Source organism: Homo sapiens, chromosome 1, assembly GCF_000001405.40.
Source record: "Homo sapiens chromosome 1, GRCh38.p14 Primary Assembly".
Lineage (NCBI taxonomy): Eukaryota > Metazoa > Chordata > Mammalia > Primates > Hominidae > Homo > Homo sapiens.
This window is the reverse complement of record NC_000001.11, coordinates 24,428,648-24,448,328: the sequence shown is the minus strand read 5'-3', so window position 1 is coordinate 24,448,328 and position 19,681 is coordinate 24,428,648. Positions and strand designations below refer to the sequence as shown.

At 43.4% G+C, this 19,681-nt stretch overlaps 1 protein-coding gene across 23 annotated transcripts in view; it reads right to left on the bottom strand.

Moving 5' to 3' along the window:
- NIPAL3 (NIPA like domain containing 3) overlaps window positions 1-19,681 on the bottom strand; it is a 59,460-nt gene that overhangs the window by 24,655 nt on the left and 15,124 nt on the right. For 16 of the 23 annotated variants that reach the window (NR_136508.2, NR_136506.2, XM_011541808.3 and 13 more), the window contains 3 exons: window positions 8,089-8,157; window positions 6,103-6,274; window positions 3,085-3,144 (listed from right to left, as the gene is read on the bottom strand). The exons of 2 other annotated variants lie outside the window; for them this stretch is intronic. Coding sequence is in view for 16 of the 21 variants with exons in the window: in XM_011541808.3 (XP_011540110.1) it covers window positions 3,085-3,144; window positions 6,103-6,274; window positions 8,089-8,157 (301 nt within the window). In the remaining 5 variants the exon portion in view is untranslated. Of the gene's footprint in view, window positions 1-3,084; window positions 3,145-4,144; window positions 4,295-6,102; window positions 6,275-8,088; window positions 8,240-15,115; window positions 15,226-19,681 lie in introns of all 23 variants that reach the window. 5 more of the 23 variants (NM_001322859.2, NM_001322861.2, NM_001322862.2 and 2 more) reach the window with 4 other exon arrangements.

Below are 19,681 nucleotides of genomic sequence, written 5' to 3'. Positions count from 1 at the left end.
ACTCTGTAAGGTTGGTGAAAAGCCTCCAAGGTCCGGCCCAGCCCCAGGCAGCCAAAAAATGGCTGAGAGTTCTAAGACACACTTATGGTGACCACAGGCCTCTGGACTTTTCTGGGATAGAACTAACTTTGCCTATTTCATCCCACTGTCTAGAGAAAATGTGATACCATGTTAAATGTCTTTTATCTTTATTCTCAGTACTAGGCCTCGTAAATGTAGGAGGTGCTCAAAAAACGGTTGTTCAATTGTTCAATGAATGAATGAGCCACGGTTAAACTCAATAAAGTAGGTCTGTTATCTAAAGTTTTCTTCAGGCAGGGATGGGTCTTACTCATCTCCACACCTGCAGCGTCCAACACAGGTCTAGCACTGAGTGAATGTTTGCTGAATGTAATGGAACTCCAGGTAAAACAGCCATATTCAGCTGTGCAGGTTGCTCACTGCACAAGGGCACCTGGCTCAATAGGTGAGATGGGCTAAAATCCAGCCCATGGTCTGCTCATCAAGGCTTGTGCCTACAAAACTACAGATGCCCAGAGGGGCCTTCTTTTTCCAAGTCACACAGGGCACTGCTTGGACTAGCACGGCTCTCATCCTAGGATTACCTAGAGTATTCCCAAAGGGATGCAAACTTCTATAGTGGTCTTAGAACCAGCCCTAACCCCCGTGCCCCATCATTAAGACTATTGAAATTCAGTCTGTCATTTGGTCTTCTTGGCAGTAGCTCCAAAGTCTCTACTTTTTTCTTTTGGCAAAGTTCTGCTTTTTTTTTTAGAGTAAAATTCTTTTCTTTTTTGGCCTCTTGGTCCCACCTTGATCTTATTCTATATCAATGATTCAGAGTGGTCCCCAAACTTGGCTGTATATCCACAACATCTTGGAAATTTTCTCTCCCTGAAGTTCTGTTTTAAAATTTTTCAGACATATATTAAAGTTCAAAAAGTTGTATAGTGAGTACCCATAGTCCCAACAGCCAGATTCTAAACTGACCTTTCATTATACTTGTTTTCTCACAAATCTATCCATCTCTCTATCCATGCATTAATTCATCTTATTTTTGATGCATTTCAAAGTGATTTGCAGGCATCAGTATACACTTCACCCTGGGAAGCTCTATAAGAATGCCAATGCCCCGGCCCCGGCCCCAGCCCAGAGCGCAGAATCTCTGAGGACAGAGCTTGGGCCACCATCACGTCACTCCTCAACTCCTCAGTATGGCACATAAGGCCTACACATCAGCCAGTCCTCCATGTCTCACTGATCTCCCTCTCACTTTATTCATTACCCTCTGGCTACACAGCCTTACCGAGACTTGGACAAACCAAGCTTGTTCCTGCCTTGGATCCTTTGCACCTGTGGCTCCTGGTATGTGGAAAACCCGGCCCACAGACCTGGGGATGGCAATCTCCTTAGTATCACCTGGATCTGGGCTTAAAAATCACCTCCTTGTGTAAATTAGTTCAACGATTGTGGAAGACAGTGTGGTGATTCCTCAAAGTCCTAGAGGTAGAAATACCATTTGACCCAGCAATCCCATTAACTGGGTATATACCCAAAGGAACATAAATTGTTCTATTATAAAGATACATGTGCACATATGTTCACTGCAGCACATTCACGATAGCAAAGACATAGAATCAACCTAAATGCCTATCAATGACAGAGGGATAAAGAAAATGTGGTACGTATACACCATGGAATACTATGCAGCCAAAAAAAATGATATCATATCCTTTGCAGGGACATGGATGGAGGTAGAAGCCATTATTCTCAGCAAACTAATGCAGGAACAGAAAACCAAATACTGCATGTCCTCACTTTAAGTGGGAGCTGAATGATGAGAACACATGGACACATGGTGGGGGAACAACACACACTGGGGCTTGTTGGAGGGTGGGGGTTTGGGGGAGGGAGACCATTGGGAAGAATAGCTAATGGATGCTGGGCTTAATACCTAGGTGATGGGATGATCTGTGCAGCAAACCACCATGGCACATGTTGCCCTATGTAACAAACCTGCACATCCTGCACATGTACCCCTGAAATTAAATTAAAAGTTGGGGGGAAAAATCACCTCCTCAGAGAGTCTGACCCTGATCAGTCTAGGAAAGTGTTCCCATCTCCCCAGTCCCCGAAAGCATTCAATTTTCTCTGAAAAACTCACTACAACCTAAAATTATTTCATTTAGTTGCTTGTTTATTGTATCTCTCCCCTCCCACAACACACACACACACACACACACACACACACACACACACGACTATAATCTCTGTGAGCAGAAGCCCCATCTATCCTACTGCTGTATTCCCAGCACCTATAACACAACATGGGACTTAGTAGGTGTTTTGTGGGAAACGCTTCTTCCCCACTTCTTGGGTTTCCATGTGGAGGGACCTCCATTAAAGTGACACTTCTGCCTCTTGCCCTATTGGTCTACATTTCTCAACTTAGGTGGAGCTAATCTTCTTAAAAAAATAAAAAAATTAAATACTGGGGCTTTGATCTTTTTTCTTCCTTCTCTGGCCCAAACTATGTGAGGCAATAATTCTGGCTAAGTGTCTCCACTCTGTAAACCCAAGTGTTTCTTGGGGGGACCCGCCCAAGGTCTGACTGGGAGCTGGAGGGTCCTGTGGGGAGAGTACAAGGACATTCCCTTGGCTGCTCACCTAAGCAGCTTTATGCTTTAATCTAGCTCACCTAAAATGCTCTAATCTAGCTTTTATTAGGAGTAAGGCATGACTTCTGATCATCTGTGTTTGACTCCCATTGCTTTAGAACTCAGTCAGGGAGAGAGGGTTTCTTTTCTTAGGCCTCCTAAAATCCCAATAATAGATGCTCAAAATTGATCCAATGGGGTGGATAAAAGTCCATTTTTAAAAGCCTCACCGATGATTCTGAGGTGTGGCCAGGCTTGAGAACCCCTGATTAAAAAATCCAGCTCTCAGGAGCCTGTTGAGGGCAGAACATAGAACCACAGAGGACAGCAGGAGGCAGATAACCTCTGAATTAGAGTGAACTGGTTTTACAATTAATAAAAAGCGTTCATATAAAATCAAGGACACAGCTCAAATCACTGAACTTACTCAGAAAGTCTTTCGGTTTCCACTTTTCCTTGATGAATATGATTCCTATGATGGCACTAGCTGAAAAATGAAGCACAAAGAAAAGGGAATTGAGGCTGCTGTCAGCTAAAGGGCATCCCTTCACCCATGCCCTCTGGGTGGCTTCTTTGCATTGGAGCTTGGTACTTCCTAACCTGTCACTCATGCTGCCAAAAGCTTGGTTCCTGTGTGATTCCATCTAGGAAAGGGAGGCTCAGAGAGGAGCCTTCCTTCCTGAGGATTTCCTACAAGGCTAGAAGCATTGAGTACCTGCTGTGTGACAGGCAATTTACACAAGTTATTTCTGGCATGTTCACCCTTGGAGGTGGGTACTCTCATTATTCCTATTTGACAAATGGGGACACTGAAGCTGAGAGAGGTAAAGGGCCCACTCGAGATCATGAAGGTGGTAGGGGAAGGCAAGACTTGAACCCAGGACTGCAGGAGGCCAGGCTCTTACTTCTTCCACTGTAACACCCACCTCTGACATTTCCCCCGGCTCTTTCCTCTCCCTGGCTCTTACACGTTCACAGATGTACTCAAACGCCCTTGGGACTGCCCGAAAGGATAGGGCTGGCAGTCACTGTGAACAGACCTGGATCACTCACTACCCTAGTTCTGCCTCTTCTGGCTGTGTGTCCTTGGATATGTCACTTCACCTGAGTCTCAGTTCTCTAGTCTATGAAATACGGTGTTAGATCCAGCTGGCACCAGCTCATAGAATGTTAAATATTTTGTTAAATATTCAGAAAACCATCCGTAGCTTGAAATCAGCCACAGTGGGAGTGATAATGTCTATACCATATAAACTGGCAAGCGCTACAAATCAGGTCTTCCTTTTCTCCTTTCCACTTTTCCATCCCCTTTCTCCATCCCTCCATCTCCTCTTCTTTTTCTTCTCCTTTGTCTCTCTGAGAGGTGGTTTACCAGCCCACCATTGAAAATTACTTTTCTGAATGATAGGGGTAATTCAATGATATATGTAAGTCATTTGGCACACAGTCAATCTCAATAACTAAGCTAATATTATTACTAAAAGTACCTGGAGCAGTGATGGTTAAGTCATAGATATCCAATAAGTGATAATCATTATTATTTTTAATATTACTCCTCACTGGATGACCTCAGAAGCTATAGGGCCCCTTCATTTCCAGTGGCTGATATCTGAAGTTTTATCATTATAACTTGGCCTCTTTAAAAAAAAAAAAGAATTTGGTTATTTGAACCTTATTAAAATTCGAAGACTAATATTTAAAGCACCAGTCACTTAGACACTTATTTCTCATTGTGAAAAAGGTTTGGGAGCCCTTTGGAGATACCTGCAGTGGGCAGAGCAGAGTGATAAGGCTACAGGTATGATCACATACAGGGGCTGGGGAGTAACAGAACACAAATATAGAAAATGGTCTGGAAGTAAGACAACAGGGAAAGGCTGAGACTCTGGCAAACTACTTGCCTCAGCTAAAGACATTCAAATTACATTAAAAAAGTACTGTGTGGGAAAAAACACACACCATGTCTGAGGACCTCATTCACTTTGCAAGCTGCCAGTTCAGCAACCCTGGTTAGGAAAAACCGGGACTTATAACAGGATCAGGGAAAGTAAATAGGTTTCTGCTCCCTTGCCAACTCCTGGTGATTGGTAGTGACTGTTGGAAGCACTGAGAATTCTGAGGCCCCATCTATGCTCTCTAGGAAGGAATGCCATGATTGATTAACGATGTCTGCCTTGAGCACAGCAAGGGAGGGGCACATAGTTACCATGCATCTGCCATCCCTTGCATAGAAGAGAACCTCTTAACTCAAGGAGGAATAAGACCCAAAATATGACTTTCTCCTTTAAGAGCAGAGCAGAGCATCTGGGCAGAGTAGTGCTTGCCAGCAAAATGGAAAGAAATATTTCAAAGCAAGTTCATTGTCCTGGCTGCTATGCACACAAAAAAAGCTATTGTTCACTAATCTACTAACATCTTTTCTTTAAGAAGAATTTTTTTTTTCTAATTCTGTTTTGCTTGTGTTCTCATGAACATTAAAGCTCCCTTGTCTTTTAGTTGGTTCAAATGTTCTGAAACACTGGTTCAGTGATTACAGAAATCACAGAAAGCTGGCAGATGAGAAAGTTAATGGCCAGTGTGGTGGCTTACAATTGTAGTCCCAGCACTTTGGGAGGAAAGGCAGGCAGATAGTTTGAGCTCAAGAATTTGAGACCAGCCTGGCCTGGCCCCAAACCCTACAAAAGCTTAATTTGTTTTTTCAATAGATGAGGTCTTGCTCTGTCACCCAGGCTGGAGTGCAATTGTGTAATCAAAGCTCACTGCAGCACTCAAACACTGGACTTAAGGGATCCTCCTGCTTCTGTTTCCCAAGTAGCTAGGACCACAGATGCATACCACCATGCCCAGCTAATTGTTTTTCTTTTTTGTTTGTTTGTTTCATTTTGTAGAGATGGGGTCTCTCCATGTTGCCCAGGCTGGTCTCAAACTCCTGGCCTCAAGCGATCCTCCCACTTCAGCCTCCCAAGTAGCTGGGATTACAGGTACAAGCCACTGCACTCAGTGACAAGCTTAATGTATCTTGATGGTGAAAAGATGCATGGGTTAAGGTTTATCTTCCTTCTTCTTTTAGAAATAAAAAGCAATTCTAATAAGCCTTCTGAATCTTAAACAGAACCTGGAGCCAGACAGCCCAGTTCATATCCCAGCCCTGTTACTCACTAGCTGTGTCATTTGGGGAAAGTAATTTCATTACCCCGTGCCTCAGTTTCCTCATCTGTTAAATGGGGATAACAACAACATCTCCCTCAACAGGTGGCTGGAGGATTAGCAGAATTAATATCTGTAAGCACTTACAGGGCCTGGTGTGTCTGAAGCCCTTTGTATTAGGCTATTATTATCCAAGCTAAAGCTGGTTTGTTCAATGGGCACCTTTGATCCTGGCGCTGGCACTCTGGTCACGCAGCTGGGAGCACCCCAGGGGAGGGTGGGGCAGCCCTGGTCTTACCTATCACAGAAACTGCGCTGAGGGGCACGATGAGTGACAGCGGCGCGAAGGCGTAGGAGGCGAACACACCCAGCTCGCCCAGAAGCATCAGGAACAGGCCCAGCCACCATGTCTTGGTCTTGAAATAGGCCCGGGGATCCTTGGAGCCTGCCAGGCGGATGTGGCAGTACTTCTAGAAACCCGAGAAATAATGCAATTTGCTCAGATGTTTGGGGAAAAAAATGCTATGATGTAGGTACCCTAAATCCACCCCCAACTTGCAAATAAATTGGGAAGACTTGTCAGGTTCTTGTGGAGTCCTGACTCAGAGAAGAGTAAGACAGTGGGGATCTAAATACTAGATCTAAATTCTAGGACAGTAGCTCTCCAACAGGCTGGGAATCCTTATAATCCCCTGAGAAGCTCTGTCAAAATACCCACCTGGGCCTCATCCTGAGTCAGTCTCGGAGAGGTGTGGATGAGCCTGAAAACAGGCATTTCTAATGCACGTCACAGGCAATGCAGTCTCAGGGTGGGAGCCATAGTCTAAAGATCCCACTTGGCCTGGCCCTTGGGTCGACCTCCTCCCTCTCTCTGCAGTTTCCAGGATTCCCCACGTTTGGATGACTGTGTGTTCGGCACACTCCTTCCTGTCTACATGCCAGCAGCTCTCGCTGGGCAGTTGTGTGGGTATCAGTGGGCCTTGCTCTCCCTGGGGTGGATACGTGGCTCAAGCATGGTCAATATTCTTTTTTGGGGGGAAATGTGAACCTGGGACATCGAAACTGAAGCAGTAACTAAAGCAGGCTAGAAAGTCATGTTGACTTAGAGGGCCAAGTCTGCCATTTGGGGAGGATCATGATGTGGGCTGCCCAGAAGCAGATAAACAACCAGAGATGCTGCCCTGGAGAAAGAAGAGAATGAACCAGACAAGTAGCTAAGAGACCACGTGGTCTCAGCGACACACAGAAACATACACATCCCAGAGCTGAGATGCATAGAGTACAGGTGAACAAGGCACAAGTGTGTGCCCACAGGGATCACAGTCTCCTGCCTGCTCCAGGGAGGGAGAGCAGTTCACTGCAGGCAGAAGCTGGGCAGTGCTGGTGGAGTGAAGCCGGCCAGTGTGCTGTGGGATTCATCCTGTTAGCAGGTACCAAGTCTTATCTGGGTTTCCCAGAAGCAGTCCCTGAGACAAGAATGTGGGAGCAGGTAGTCTGTATGAGATAATTCCAGGGAGCACGAGTAAGGGAAGGGGAAAGTGAGGCAGGGAACAGAGATGAAAGGTGCATTCATGAGCGGATTAGTCCCGTGGGCAACTGGGACTCAGTCCCACAGGGGACCCTCTGAAAAACCCTGTGAATCTCACCTTAGAATCATCCTAGCAGAGGATAAGAGCCTGGGGCATTTATTCCCTGCCTCCCACCCCTGCTGGCAGAAGGCAGCCTCCAGGGGCATTAACGTCCTGCTCCCCCAGTGCACACCCCAACTGTGCCTGCATGCCAGTAACACCAGCTCCTTGGTGCCCCCATGAGAAGCTCATTAGCTATCAACTTGCTACACACCACAGCTGCTTGTGAACTCAGACAGGCCGAGGGGATTTGGAGGTCAGTGGGGGGATCCACAGCAGCTGTAGAGGGCATCCCTGAGGCTTTTAAGTAATGAACAGTGCTGTAATTAGAGTTGAATTTGACAAAACTATGGTAATTCCAGCAGCTTTGCAGCAAGGCAAAGAGGGATGAGACCAGAGCCAGAGAAGCTAGCAGGAGGTCACTGCAAAGCCCAAGGAGAGACAGTGAGGACCTGGCTAGGAGGGCGAGGGCGGGATGGAGTGGGGCCACTGAATCAAGAGAAATCCTGGAACGGCCCACAAGGTATTGTCCCAGGTGCAGCCCAGGGATGCAGTAGGCAAGGCCCTGCAGAGAGGAGGCAGCTGGACCTGGATAAGACACCCTGACTTGTCTGCTGTGTCTCTGTCCCCAGACAGTGCTGGTAACTGAAACTTACCTGGAGGTTAAGTGCAATGCTGACCACGAGGTGCCCGAAGATCGCCAAGAGGGCGCCAATCAGGTTTTCCTGTAAGGAAAGTTCACAGGAGTGGACATGATTTGGGCACAAGCCAGGGGGCCCCAGGACACTTCTGACACTCAACCATTTGCTGCCCCAAAACAAAACCAGAAAAACAATATCAGTGACAAAGCCACACTCCAGACCCACAACTGGAATGTTACTACTGAAGGTTAATCTGGCTGCTTTGCTGGTTTACAAAATGCTGCCCTGAATTGGATACTTTGGTGGCCCGATCACACTGACCTGACAAGGTCTAAACCTGCTGTGCTATTCCCTTTAAAGTATTAACTTGCCACCATCTTGTGCAGAAAAGCAACATTCCAAAATCAGAATTTACAAGAGAAATATAGGCCAGAGAATACTTTTTGCTATCTTGTCAATAGTGTCTTCAATTTCCCAGAGGGTTTCAATGAAACTCTTTTAACTGGCTCACTTGCTTAGGGCATTGTCAATTACTCAATTTATAAAAAGTTAATTTACATCACCTATGAGTTAGGTTCAGACTACCTGGCACGGAATTTTGTACTTTCTAAAATGATTACCAAACATATATTCATTGTAGACTAAATAGGAAATATATATAGATAAAAATAATAATATCTTAGACAAGGTAGCATGAGAAAAAAATGAAAAAAATAACAATAACAACACCACCATAATAGAAAAGTCACTTTTAATTCTATAACCCAGAGATAATGACTATAAACATTTTGGTTCTTATTCCTGCAAACATTTTTCTGTCCATAAATTTACATATCAATGGAAATGTTAATTTACTTTATAAAAATAAGATTACCATCTGTTTTATAATCTGTTTTTTTACTTAACATATTGTGAGCACATTTCCCTGTCAGGCATACCTAATTTGTCATTTTTATTAAATGTCAAATAACTCATTATTTTTGGATGTGCCATATTTTATATCATTGCTTTGCTATTACTGGATATTTAGGCTGTTTCCTTTATTATTAATTTTTCATTTAACTTTATTTTAGAGTCGGGGTAAATGGGCAGGTGTGTTACATGGGTAAATTGTGTAATGCTGAGGTTTGGGTTTCTAGTGAACCCATCACCCAAATAAGTGAACACAGTACCCAATCGGTAATTTTTCAACTCTCACCCCCACCCCTCCCCGTTTTGGAGTCCCCCGTGTCTATTATGTTTCCTTTTAAAAAAACAATGCTGTGATTGAATAGCCTAGTGCACACATTTTTGTGCGTTTGTATGGATTAGTCCCTTGGGACAAATTCTTGTAAGTGGAATTGCTGGGTCAAAGTGTACTAGCATTTAAACCACACTATAGCAAGTCCCCAACACACCCTCCATCCATATTCCACCACTGAACACCAAGGAATGCTCTATGCTGGCCAATGCTGCAACCTCCTTCCCAGCATGTTCTCTTCCCAACCCCGCCTGGTTCCCCTCCCTGGTGAAATCCTGCCCATTCTTTAAGGCGGGGGACAGGCCCTAGGGAATCGGCAGTTAACAAGACAAACAGTCCTCACTGTCATATGTTCAGTCCATCTGGAAAGACAGATAATTAGCAAGCTGCCCCGCAGTGGCCAGAGCTGGCCGAGGCTTCCCCCTCAGGACACAGTCAGCAGTAACAGTGAAGTCAACCCTCCCCCCTGCCCTCTCCTAGATCGCGGGGCTTAGAGAGCTGAGGGCAGGTCTTCCCTGAGAAGGGGCAGTTGGCCAGGGACGGGAGAGGGCAGGAGGACCGAGAGGGAGGCCCACCAACTGAAATCACTATGGATAGCTGTCCTTAACTTCTCTCCCAACAAGGCTCAGCGCTGCCACAGAAGGGAAAGATGTGGAGCCAGGGGACCCCAGTCTAGTCCCAGCTCTGCCACAACCTCACCACACCTGAGATGTGTCCCCCACCTGGAAAAGGTCAGAGCTGGGAACTGATTCTGACTCACCCGATGAGCAGCAAGACAGAATAAAGCCACCTGCAGGCAGAACACGTCCTTCCTGTGGGATGACAGGATCTCAGAGCTAAAAGGCTCGCTGGAGACCTGCCCAGCCAGGGTTTCCCCAGCTGAGTTCCCAGAGATGCTAATGGGGTGCCAAGGCAAGAAAAGCACCATGTAGTTAAAGGCAATGCATCCTCTACCCACTGCTGGGAGGCCCCCAGAGCATGTTAGAGGCTCTCAGGGGAGTTTCTCCTTGTCTAACTCAGGTTCTCAAACTCATTTGGCTCTAGAACTCTTAACCTGGAATCCAGCCATCAGCATCTGGAGTAAACATCTATGACTCTCACTTGACTAACATTTTAATCCTTTCCTTTTCTTCTGATAAACGACACCCTGATTTTGCTGGGGAGGACTCTCCTCCGCCCCCTCCCCATTGGACACGGTCTTATTGGAACTGTCATTCCCAGTGCTCCATCCTCCCTAGACATCACGGCCCAAGTGTGACCCAAGCCAGGCAGCCCAGAATCTCTTTCTCTGGGATCCAGATCTTGGACTGAGAAACACAAAGGCTGAAGAAAGGTTGACTCCCTTCAGCCCAAGGTGAGGCCTGAGCAAATCATTAGTTGTCGCTCCTCAGGACCCTGGGGCCATCCTGGTTCCAGACCTCCTGGTTCCAGACCTTCCTGAAGCCAGGAACAGCCCAATTTTGCTTAAGAACTTGCTTCTGTTACTTGCAACTAAAAAGCTCAACAGAATCAGCACTTTGTGGAAAGCATTTTGGGACATGTTTATTATTAGCCCAACTTCTCATAAACATGAGCGAGGTTTTTTCTTCCCCCTTAGAGCCATGGCTTTGGTGGACAAAAAAGGCAATCTGCTTTTATTTTGTAAAAAGAAATATGTTATTCAAATTTAGTTTTTTGAAATAAAACCTTACCACAGAACTAATTATTATACATCTAACAAATTGTATTTACAAATATAATGAATCTTAGTTTCAATATTTTTTTGAGATGGAGTCTCACTCTGTCGCCCAGGCTGGAGTGCAGTGGCGCAATCTCGGCTCACTGCAAACTCCACCTCCCGGGTTCACGCCATTCTCCTGCCTCAGCCTCCCAAGTAGCTGGGACTACAGGCGCCCGCCACCTCGCCCGGCTATTATTTTGTATTTTTAGTAGAGAGGTGGGTTTCACCGTGTTATCCAGGATGGTCTCAATCTCCTGACCTCATGATCCGACCGCTTCGGCCTCCCAAAGTGCTGGGATTACAGGCGTGAGCCACCACGCCCAGCCAGTTTCAATATTTTAATGCTCCTTGCATACAAAAAATTATTTTATAACTTTCCATTTAAAAAGTCAATTATAGAACATCTGCTTCTGGGAAGATGGAGTAGATGTACTTTTCCCTATTCTTCCTGCTATGTACAACTAAAACCCTGGTCATCACATATAAGGCAAACAAAAGGCTGGGCGCGGTGGCTCACGCCTGTAATCCCAGCAGTTTGGGAGGCCAAGGCGGGTGAATCACCTGAGGTCAGGAGTTCGAGACCAGTCTGGCCAACACGGTGAAACTCCATCTCTACCAAAAAAAATAAACAACCCAAAAATTATCTGGGCGTGGTGGTGGGCGCCTATAATCCCAGCTACTCAGGAGGCCGAGGCAGGAGAATCACTTGAACCCAGGAGGCAGAGGTTGCAGAGAGCCGAGATTGCACCATTGTACTCCAGCCTGGGTGACAAGAGTGAAACTCCGTCTCAAAAAAAAAAAAAGACAAACATAAGACAATTCTGAATGCAGAGAGAAGAAGGCAGACAAGCTAGAAAAGTTGGGACCCCAGGAATGGCATATTGGTGAGCTTCTTGGGTATTCTGTATTCTTTTTGCCTCATACATCCCAAACTTGTAGGCGAAGAAGCCAGCACTCTGGAAATACCAACAGGGGTGGAGCAGGGTAAAAAAAAAACAAAAGCCCCAAGAAAAGCCTCCTCTCACTACCAAAGGACAAGCTGATGGGAAGCTTGGCAAGAAAAACACTTTTAGACAATAACCTCACTATTCTAAACACCACAGAGAACAAGGCATCTGTACATCTGAATGTTTGTGCCCGCTGCCCCCTAAGTTTATATGTTGAAGTCCTAACCCCTAAGGGAATGGTATTAGGAGGTGGTGCCTTTGGGAAGTGACTAGGTCATGCCGGTGGAGCCCTCATGAATGGAATTAGTGTTCTTATAAAAGAGGCCCAAGAGAGGCTGCTCGCCCCTTCCATCACGTGAGGACAGAGAGAGGAAGTGCCGTCTGAGGTGGCGCGCCCTCACCAGACACCCAATCTGCTGGGGCCTTGATCTTGGACTTCCCAGCTTTCAGAACTGTGAGAAATACATTTCTGTTTTTATAAGCTACTCAGTTTATGGTATTTTGTTACAGCAGCCCAAATGAACTAAGTCAGCCCCTCAACTCCCCTGTTGGGACTATCAGGGAAGGCTAAGCAGGGAGCCAGTGGCAAGGTGTCCTCCTCCCCATGGTGTCAACGGAGACCACACAGAGAGGCTAGACTTCTACCTTTGATGCAGAAAAGTTTTAAATTTTGATGAAGTCTAATCTATCTATTGTTTTGTTGTTTATGCTTTTGGTGTCATATTTTGTGACAATAGCATCATGGGTGGGGGAGAGAGATGGAGCTATATAGGTGCGACATTTCATGTACTACTAAAATTAAGTTGGTGTTAATCTGAACTAGATTGTTATAAATTAAGGTGTTAATTGTCATCCTCAGCACAATCACTAAGAAGATAACTCAAAATATATAGTGGAAGAAATGACAAGGGAATTAAAATGGTACACTACAAAATATATCTATTTAACACAAAAGAAGCCACCAATGAAGGAACTGAACTAAAAGAGACAAAAACTTGCTTGATCTAAAATATCACCTTTATTTTCTTCTAAGATTTTTATTTCTTCTAAGAATTTTAGCTCTTACATTTAGCTCTCCGATCCATTTTGAGTTAATTTTTATGCATGGTGTGAGGTGGGAATCCAATTTCATTCACTCTTGTACATGTGGATATCCAGTTATTCCTGTGCTATTTGTTGAAAAGACTATTCTTTCTCCATTGAATGGTCTTAGCATCTTTGTTGAAATCAACTGACCATAGATGTATGGGTTAATTTCTGGACTCTGAATTCTATCCCATTGATTTATTTGTCTGTCTTTATGCCAGTACCATATTGTCTTGACTACTATAGTTTTGTAGTAAGTTTTGAAATCAGAAGTATGAGTTCTTCAACATTGTTCTTCTTCCTCCAAGATTGTTTTGGCTATTTTGGGTCCCCTGGACTTCCATATGGATTTTAGGATCAGTTTGTCTCGAGGTAGTTCCTATAATTTCCCTTGTGATTTTTTTCATTGACTTGTTGGTTATTTAGGAGCGTGTTGTTAAATTTATACATGTTTGTGAATTTCCCACTTTGTTTTTGTGAATTTCCTTTTGTGATTGATTTTTAATTTCATTCCATTGTGATCAGAAAACATACTTTGTATAATTTCAATATTTTAAATAATGAGACTTGTTTTCTGTCCTAATATATGCTCTATCCCAGAAAATGTTCATGTGCACTTAAGAAGAATTTGTATTTTGCTTTTGTTGAGTGGAATATTCTATAGATTTCTGTCAGGTCTAGTTGCTTTACAGTGTTGTTCAAGTCTTCTATTTCCTTGCTGATCTTCTAATTGTTCTATCCATTAGTAAAAGTGGGGTATACGCTATTCAAGTCTTTGGCTATTATCGTGTATTTCTTCCTTTGATTCTGTCAGTTTTTGCTTCCTGTATTTTGGGGCTGTGTAGGTGCATTTATTTTACAATTGTTACATCTTCTTGATGAATTTACCCCTTCATCATAATATAATGTCCTTCTTTGTACCTTGTAACAATTTTATCTTCAAGTCTATTTTGTTTAATATTAGTATAGTTACTCCAGCTCTCCTTTGGTTATTTACATGAAATATCTTTTTCTTTTTTCTTTTTTACTTTCAATCTATTTGTGTCTTTGAATTTAAAGGGAATCTTTTGTAGATAGCACATACTTGAATGTTTTAAAATATATATTCTGCCAATCTCTGCCTTTTACTTGGAGAGTTTAATCTACTTACATTTAATAATAATTAGTAATAAGAAAGGACTTCTGTCATTTTGCCATTTGTTTTCTGTAGTCTCTTTTTTTCCTCAATTCCTCCATTACTGCCCTCTTTTGTGGTAAATAGATATGTTTTCTAGTGTGCCATTTTAATTCCCTTGTCATTTATTTTACTGTGTATTTAAGAGTTATTTTCTTAATGGCTGTGCTGATTATAATTAACACCTTAATTTATAACAATCTAGTTCAGATTAATAGCAACTTAATTTTAGTGTTATACAAAACTTTGCTCCTATATAGTTCCCATCTCTCTCCCCCACCCATTATGCTATTATTGTCACAGATTTCTTAATTCCTTTTAAAACTTAATCATCCAATATGGGTAGACAGAATTCTGCCTTCCTTTCATTTGGAAATTATATCTAACTGGAGCCTCCATGTCTCTCTTTTCCTTCCCAATCAATAAAAGGAACTCAGTTTATGTTTCCTGAATAAGTGACTTAATCTAAGCACAAATAAATGGCAATAATTGAGAGAGTGCTCAGAAAAAGGTGGAATGTCAAAGGAGGAATTTACTCTGGGCACAAGACCTGAACTACTTGGCTTAATATTATGTGGCAAAGGCAGTATGGAAGGACTATAGCTAAAATTTAGGCTCTCAGACTTCCAGCCTGAGGTTTTTTTACATGCCTGGCCTCCTCTTCCAACCTTCACATGGCACCTGGCCTGAGGCAGAGCATACCCAACCCCCTCAACCCATTTGTGGCCTGAAGAGGACTGCAGAAGGCAACCTACAACGTACAGTATCTTGTGGAAACTAAGAGGACATCGTAATCCTAAGGAACTGCTCCAGCACAATAAGTGTGTGGAGTGTGGTTATTCAGAGGTTAGGTTCTAGAGTCAGGCAGACCTCACCTTGAATCCAGCCTCTGTCCTTCATGACACTGTGACTCGGACATATCTTTGGGCATTTGTTTCCTCAACTGTAAAATGGAGTTATTAACGGTACTTACTCCTCAGGGCAGCTGCAAGAATGAAACAAGATAAACCCATGGAAGTAACAAAGCACGATTCCTAGCACAAGTCAGAGGGTTTACGGATACAGATTTCTTTACTATGGGGCTTCTCAGAGCCTTCAATAAATATTAGCTATCATAGTTAGAGTCATCCATCATTAACAATAGGGCATCGTGAGAACTTCCTACGTGTTAGGCACATGCCAGTGGGAGGTGATCGGGTTTACTAGAGAGAGCTCAGCCTTTGGAAACTGACAGACTAGCCTTGTTGTAAAGATTAGAGATGATGACGACAATGATAATCATAAACTAACATTTATCAAGCACTTACTATGTGCCAAGTATTACTCTAAGTACTTTAAACGTATTAACTCATTTAATCCTCATAACAACCTTTTAAGGCAGGTACTATTATCATCTAATTTTACAGTGAGGAAGCTGAGGCACAGAGGATAAGAGATAGCTAGTAAGTGGCTGAAGAAGGATGGGAACCCAGGTAGTCTGACCCCAGAGCCCATGCTCAGAATTATTATGTCAAACTATATAATATATAAAGCTCTATAACAGGCCTGGAACAGGGTAGGTATTGAATAAATAGTAGCTATTATTAGGAGTTGGGGAATTGGTTCTTGACCCAGTGACTCCCAGGCTAGTGCAGAATACAGACACTAAAAATATTACAATCTGGCCGGGCGCGATGGCTCACACCTGTAATCCCAGCACTTTGGGAGGTTGAGGCGGGCAGATCACCTGAGGTTGGGAGTTCGAGACCAGCCTGACAAACATGGAGAAACCCTGTCTCTACTAGAAATACAAAATTAGCCGGGCATGGTGGCACACGCCTGTAATTCCAGCTACTCGGGAGGCTGAGGCAGGAGAATCACTAACCCGGAAGGCGGAGACTGCAGTGAGCCGAGGTTGTGCCATTGCCCTCCAGCCTAGGCAACAAGAGCGAAACTCCATCTCAAAAATATATATATATAATCTATTAGAGATGGGCACAAGAAGTACAGAGAAGGGAGGAATGGCACTCCAGTCACTTGTTCCTTCAGTGCCTAGTTTGTGCCATGCCCTGTCCTTGTCCTCACATAACATACATTGAACTGACTACGTAATCACATTGTGGTTAGGGCTACACAGGAAAGGCACAGGGTACTCTACGTGACAGGGACCTGATCTAGTGTGTGTGTTGTGGGGTGGTCAAGGAAGACATCTCTGAAGAATGATTTCTGAAGGGAGGGCTGAAGACCTGGAGTGGTGGGGGTGGGGTGCAGAAAGCTGTTCCACAACGCATAGGAAGCTCCGGGGGTGGGAACCAGCAAGTACTTTTGAGGAAGAGAAAGATGGCTGGTGTAAGGGAAAAAGACTCAGGGAAAAATGGGATCGGGGAACTGACTAAAGGCAACCCCCTTTAATTCAGTTTTAAAAGGGGTCCAGGGAAGATGGAAAGAAACCAGAGAAGCCCTATTCCAAGACATTGGACCTGGCCTTGGAGATGACAGGGAGGCTCTGAGTGATGTTATTAGGACTATGTTTCTAAAAGAGAAATTATTTCACTTGAACACTTAAAGGTCATAAAATAAATTTTAAAAAGATAGAAATCAGGGTTGCAAGGACCAGAAGGCCATCTTCTTTGGACTGGGGCCAGAGATTTTCTTCCACAAGGTGATACTGACAGTCTTAGGGGACTTGATCACCTATCTTCATGTCCTTCCATGTTCTTTGCCAGCTTTTCGTATGTTCCGCTTTCTCATTTCACCTTTCACGGCAGTTTTTTCCCGTTTGATCAAAGAAAGGCTTGTCCTTCATTTACCTTAGAATCTTACTCTGGTACATTGCCAAGTTGTAAAACCACCAGGAAATCAAGGGGAATTCTGAAATTTTGTTTCCCACTTTTTTTAGTGATAATCAAGATGCTGTAACGCCCATCCCAAGAATGACTTTTCTTCCCTCTGTCATCCATATTCCTGTTAAGGCATGACACTGGAATGGGATAGTTTGGCCCTTGTTGGAATATTCCTAAGCCAGAGTCTGGTTTGACTGATGTTTGGAAAATAAGGACTAGCTTTGTTAATTAGGTTATATTCCAGATCTGTTACACAGATTGAATGAGCTAAATTTCCTGCTCTAAGCTTTGACAAAAATATATTCAAAGCTTGTTCTAAAATAAAATCATTTATACTTGAACTATATGTACAAATACTTATACATTATACTACATAATAAATGTAAAAATATATGTGCATTAAAGTACAGCATAAGCAAAGGAATAGTAAAAATAATATTTCAATTTCCCTGACCCTTTCTAGATATATCAGGTTAACACAAGGTGCCTTTAGGTGAAAAAAGTTACAGGCATAATCGACAATGCCCTTTTGGTAAACGTCACAGAAATTGTGAAAGCAAAACAAATCTTGTTGTTGTAATTAGGAGTGTCCAGTACTTTGCTTTGAACAAAAATGAAGGTGGCTCTGATTGTATCGTTAGCTGATGAAAATAGTTTATCATGATGTGACTTTTAGCATGTAACTTGGAAGGAGTTTAAAGAATTTAGTGATACTGGAGCCTAGCACGGTGGTTCATGCCTGTAATCTCAGCACTTTGGGAGGCCAAGGCGGGTGGATCACTTGAGGTCAGGAGTTCAGGAACAGCCTGGCCAACACGGTGAAACCCCATCTCTACCAAAAATACAAAAATTAGCCAGGTGTGGTGGCTGGCACCTGTAATCCTAGCTATTTGGAGGCTGAGGCAGGAGAATCACTTGAACCTGGGAGGTGGAGGTTGCAATGAGCTGAGATCGCGCCATTGCACTCCTGCACTCCAGCCTGGGCAACAAGAGTGAGACTCTGTCTCAAAAAAAAGGAAAAAAAAAAAAAAGAATTTAGTGATACTGCTATACCAACAGTCCTTCCATTCCAGGTACTTATACTAATGTGAATAAAGTTCTTAGCACTTTAGCTATGGGAAACAAAACTTGCAGTAGAATAGATGCTAAACTCTACCTCATTCTAGCAATCAGTAATATTTATCTTGAATACAGAAATTAATTTTTAAAGAAAGTCTTATTCTTCTCATTCAGATATTCATTTCTAATACTTTTTTTGCTTAATAATCATTGTAAAATTTTACACTGCATTAACAGCTTTCAGTCAATCATACCAATAAATAAACTCTTCTGAACCTCATATCCAAGGAAATTTTAATAAATGAAATTTGATTACCTATTCTACATCTTTTCTTATAGAGAAGTATGAAAAAATTTTCACTGGGAGGCCATCAGGCTGAGACAGCTGTAGGGCCTTGGGTTCCTATGTAAGCAAACTGAATTGCAATGTAACCAGTAAAATGATACTTAAGCACAACCAATCAAAGCATCAACTAACCTCTAACTAGGGACTTTCCTCCAATCAGACCCAAATAAAGCAAGCACCTATCTGTAGCCAATCAAGCCATTTCTTTGCTTTGCTTCTGCATTCAACCTATAAAAGTGTGCTGCTCAGGCCACTAAAGCGGAGCTCTCTGAACCTCTTCCGGTTCTGAGTGCCTGCCCAATTTTGGAATAAAATTCTGTGAGGGAAATAGAATGGAAATACAAATTCAAGGAGAAAAGGGAATGATGTAAAATTTTCAACACATAAAGAACAGCTTATATATTTTTCAGAAGGCTGATAGTGGGTACTGAATGGTCTTTATACCAAGGGCTTCAGTTAACAGTATCTAACAGTACTCAATACTGTTAGATAAATAAAAAATGCCAAGTTTAAATTTGCCAGAAATGGTTCAATACATTCTCCTGCCTCGGCCTCCTGAGTAGCTGGGACTACAGGCATGTGCCACCATGCCCAGCTAATTTTTTTGCATTTTTAGTAGAGACGGGGTTTCTCCATGTTGGCCAGGCTGGTCTCAAACTCCTGACCTCAGGTGATCTGCCCACCTCGGCCTTCCAAAGTGCTGGGATTACAGGGGTGAGCCACCATGCCCGGCCAATATTCAACCATTTTTGATGCATAAAGATGGTAGTTTCATATGGTTCCACCTATAACTGGTAGCTGCTATTTTATTTTTACCGCAAGAGACCAAGATGAGATGGCCTCAGATGAGTGGTTGACTAAATCCACGAGGATTTAGTCTGTCTTCACAGACTAGCCTGAGAATGTGTTAACTCACTACCATGGAAGTGCAGAGCTGCAGAAGGGCAGAGGGAGGCCACTGTGGCCACAGAGACAAGTCAGGGAGTGTGGCAGGGAAGGGTGGGACCCAGAAGTGAAAACTATAAACCTCACAAGGATGAACCCACCTAGGCAGCAAAAACATTGGAGGCCAAAAGGTTATGTATGGGCCAAGGGAAGACTTCCCCATTGCCCTTGGAAGGTTCGCTGAAAATCAACTGATGAAAGGCAGATTAATAGGAGAAAAGGCGTACAAATTTATCTCATCATCATTTTATGTGACATGGGAGCCTTCA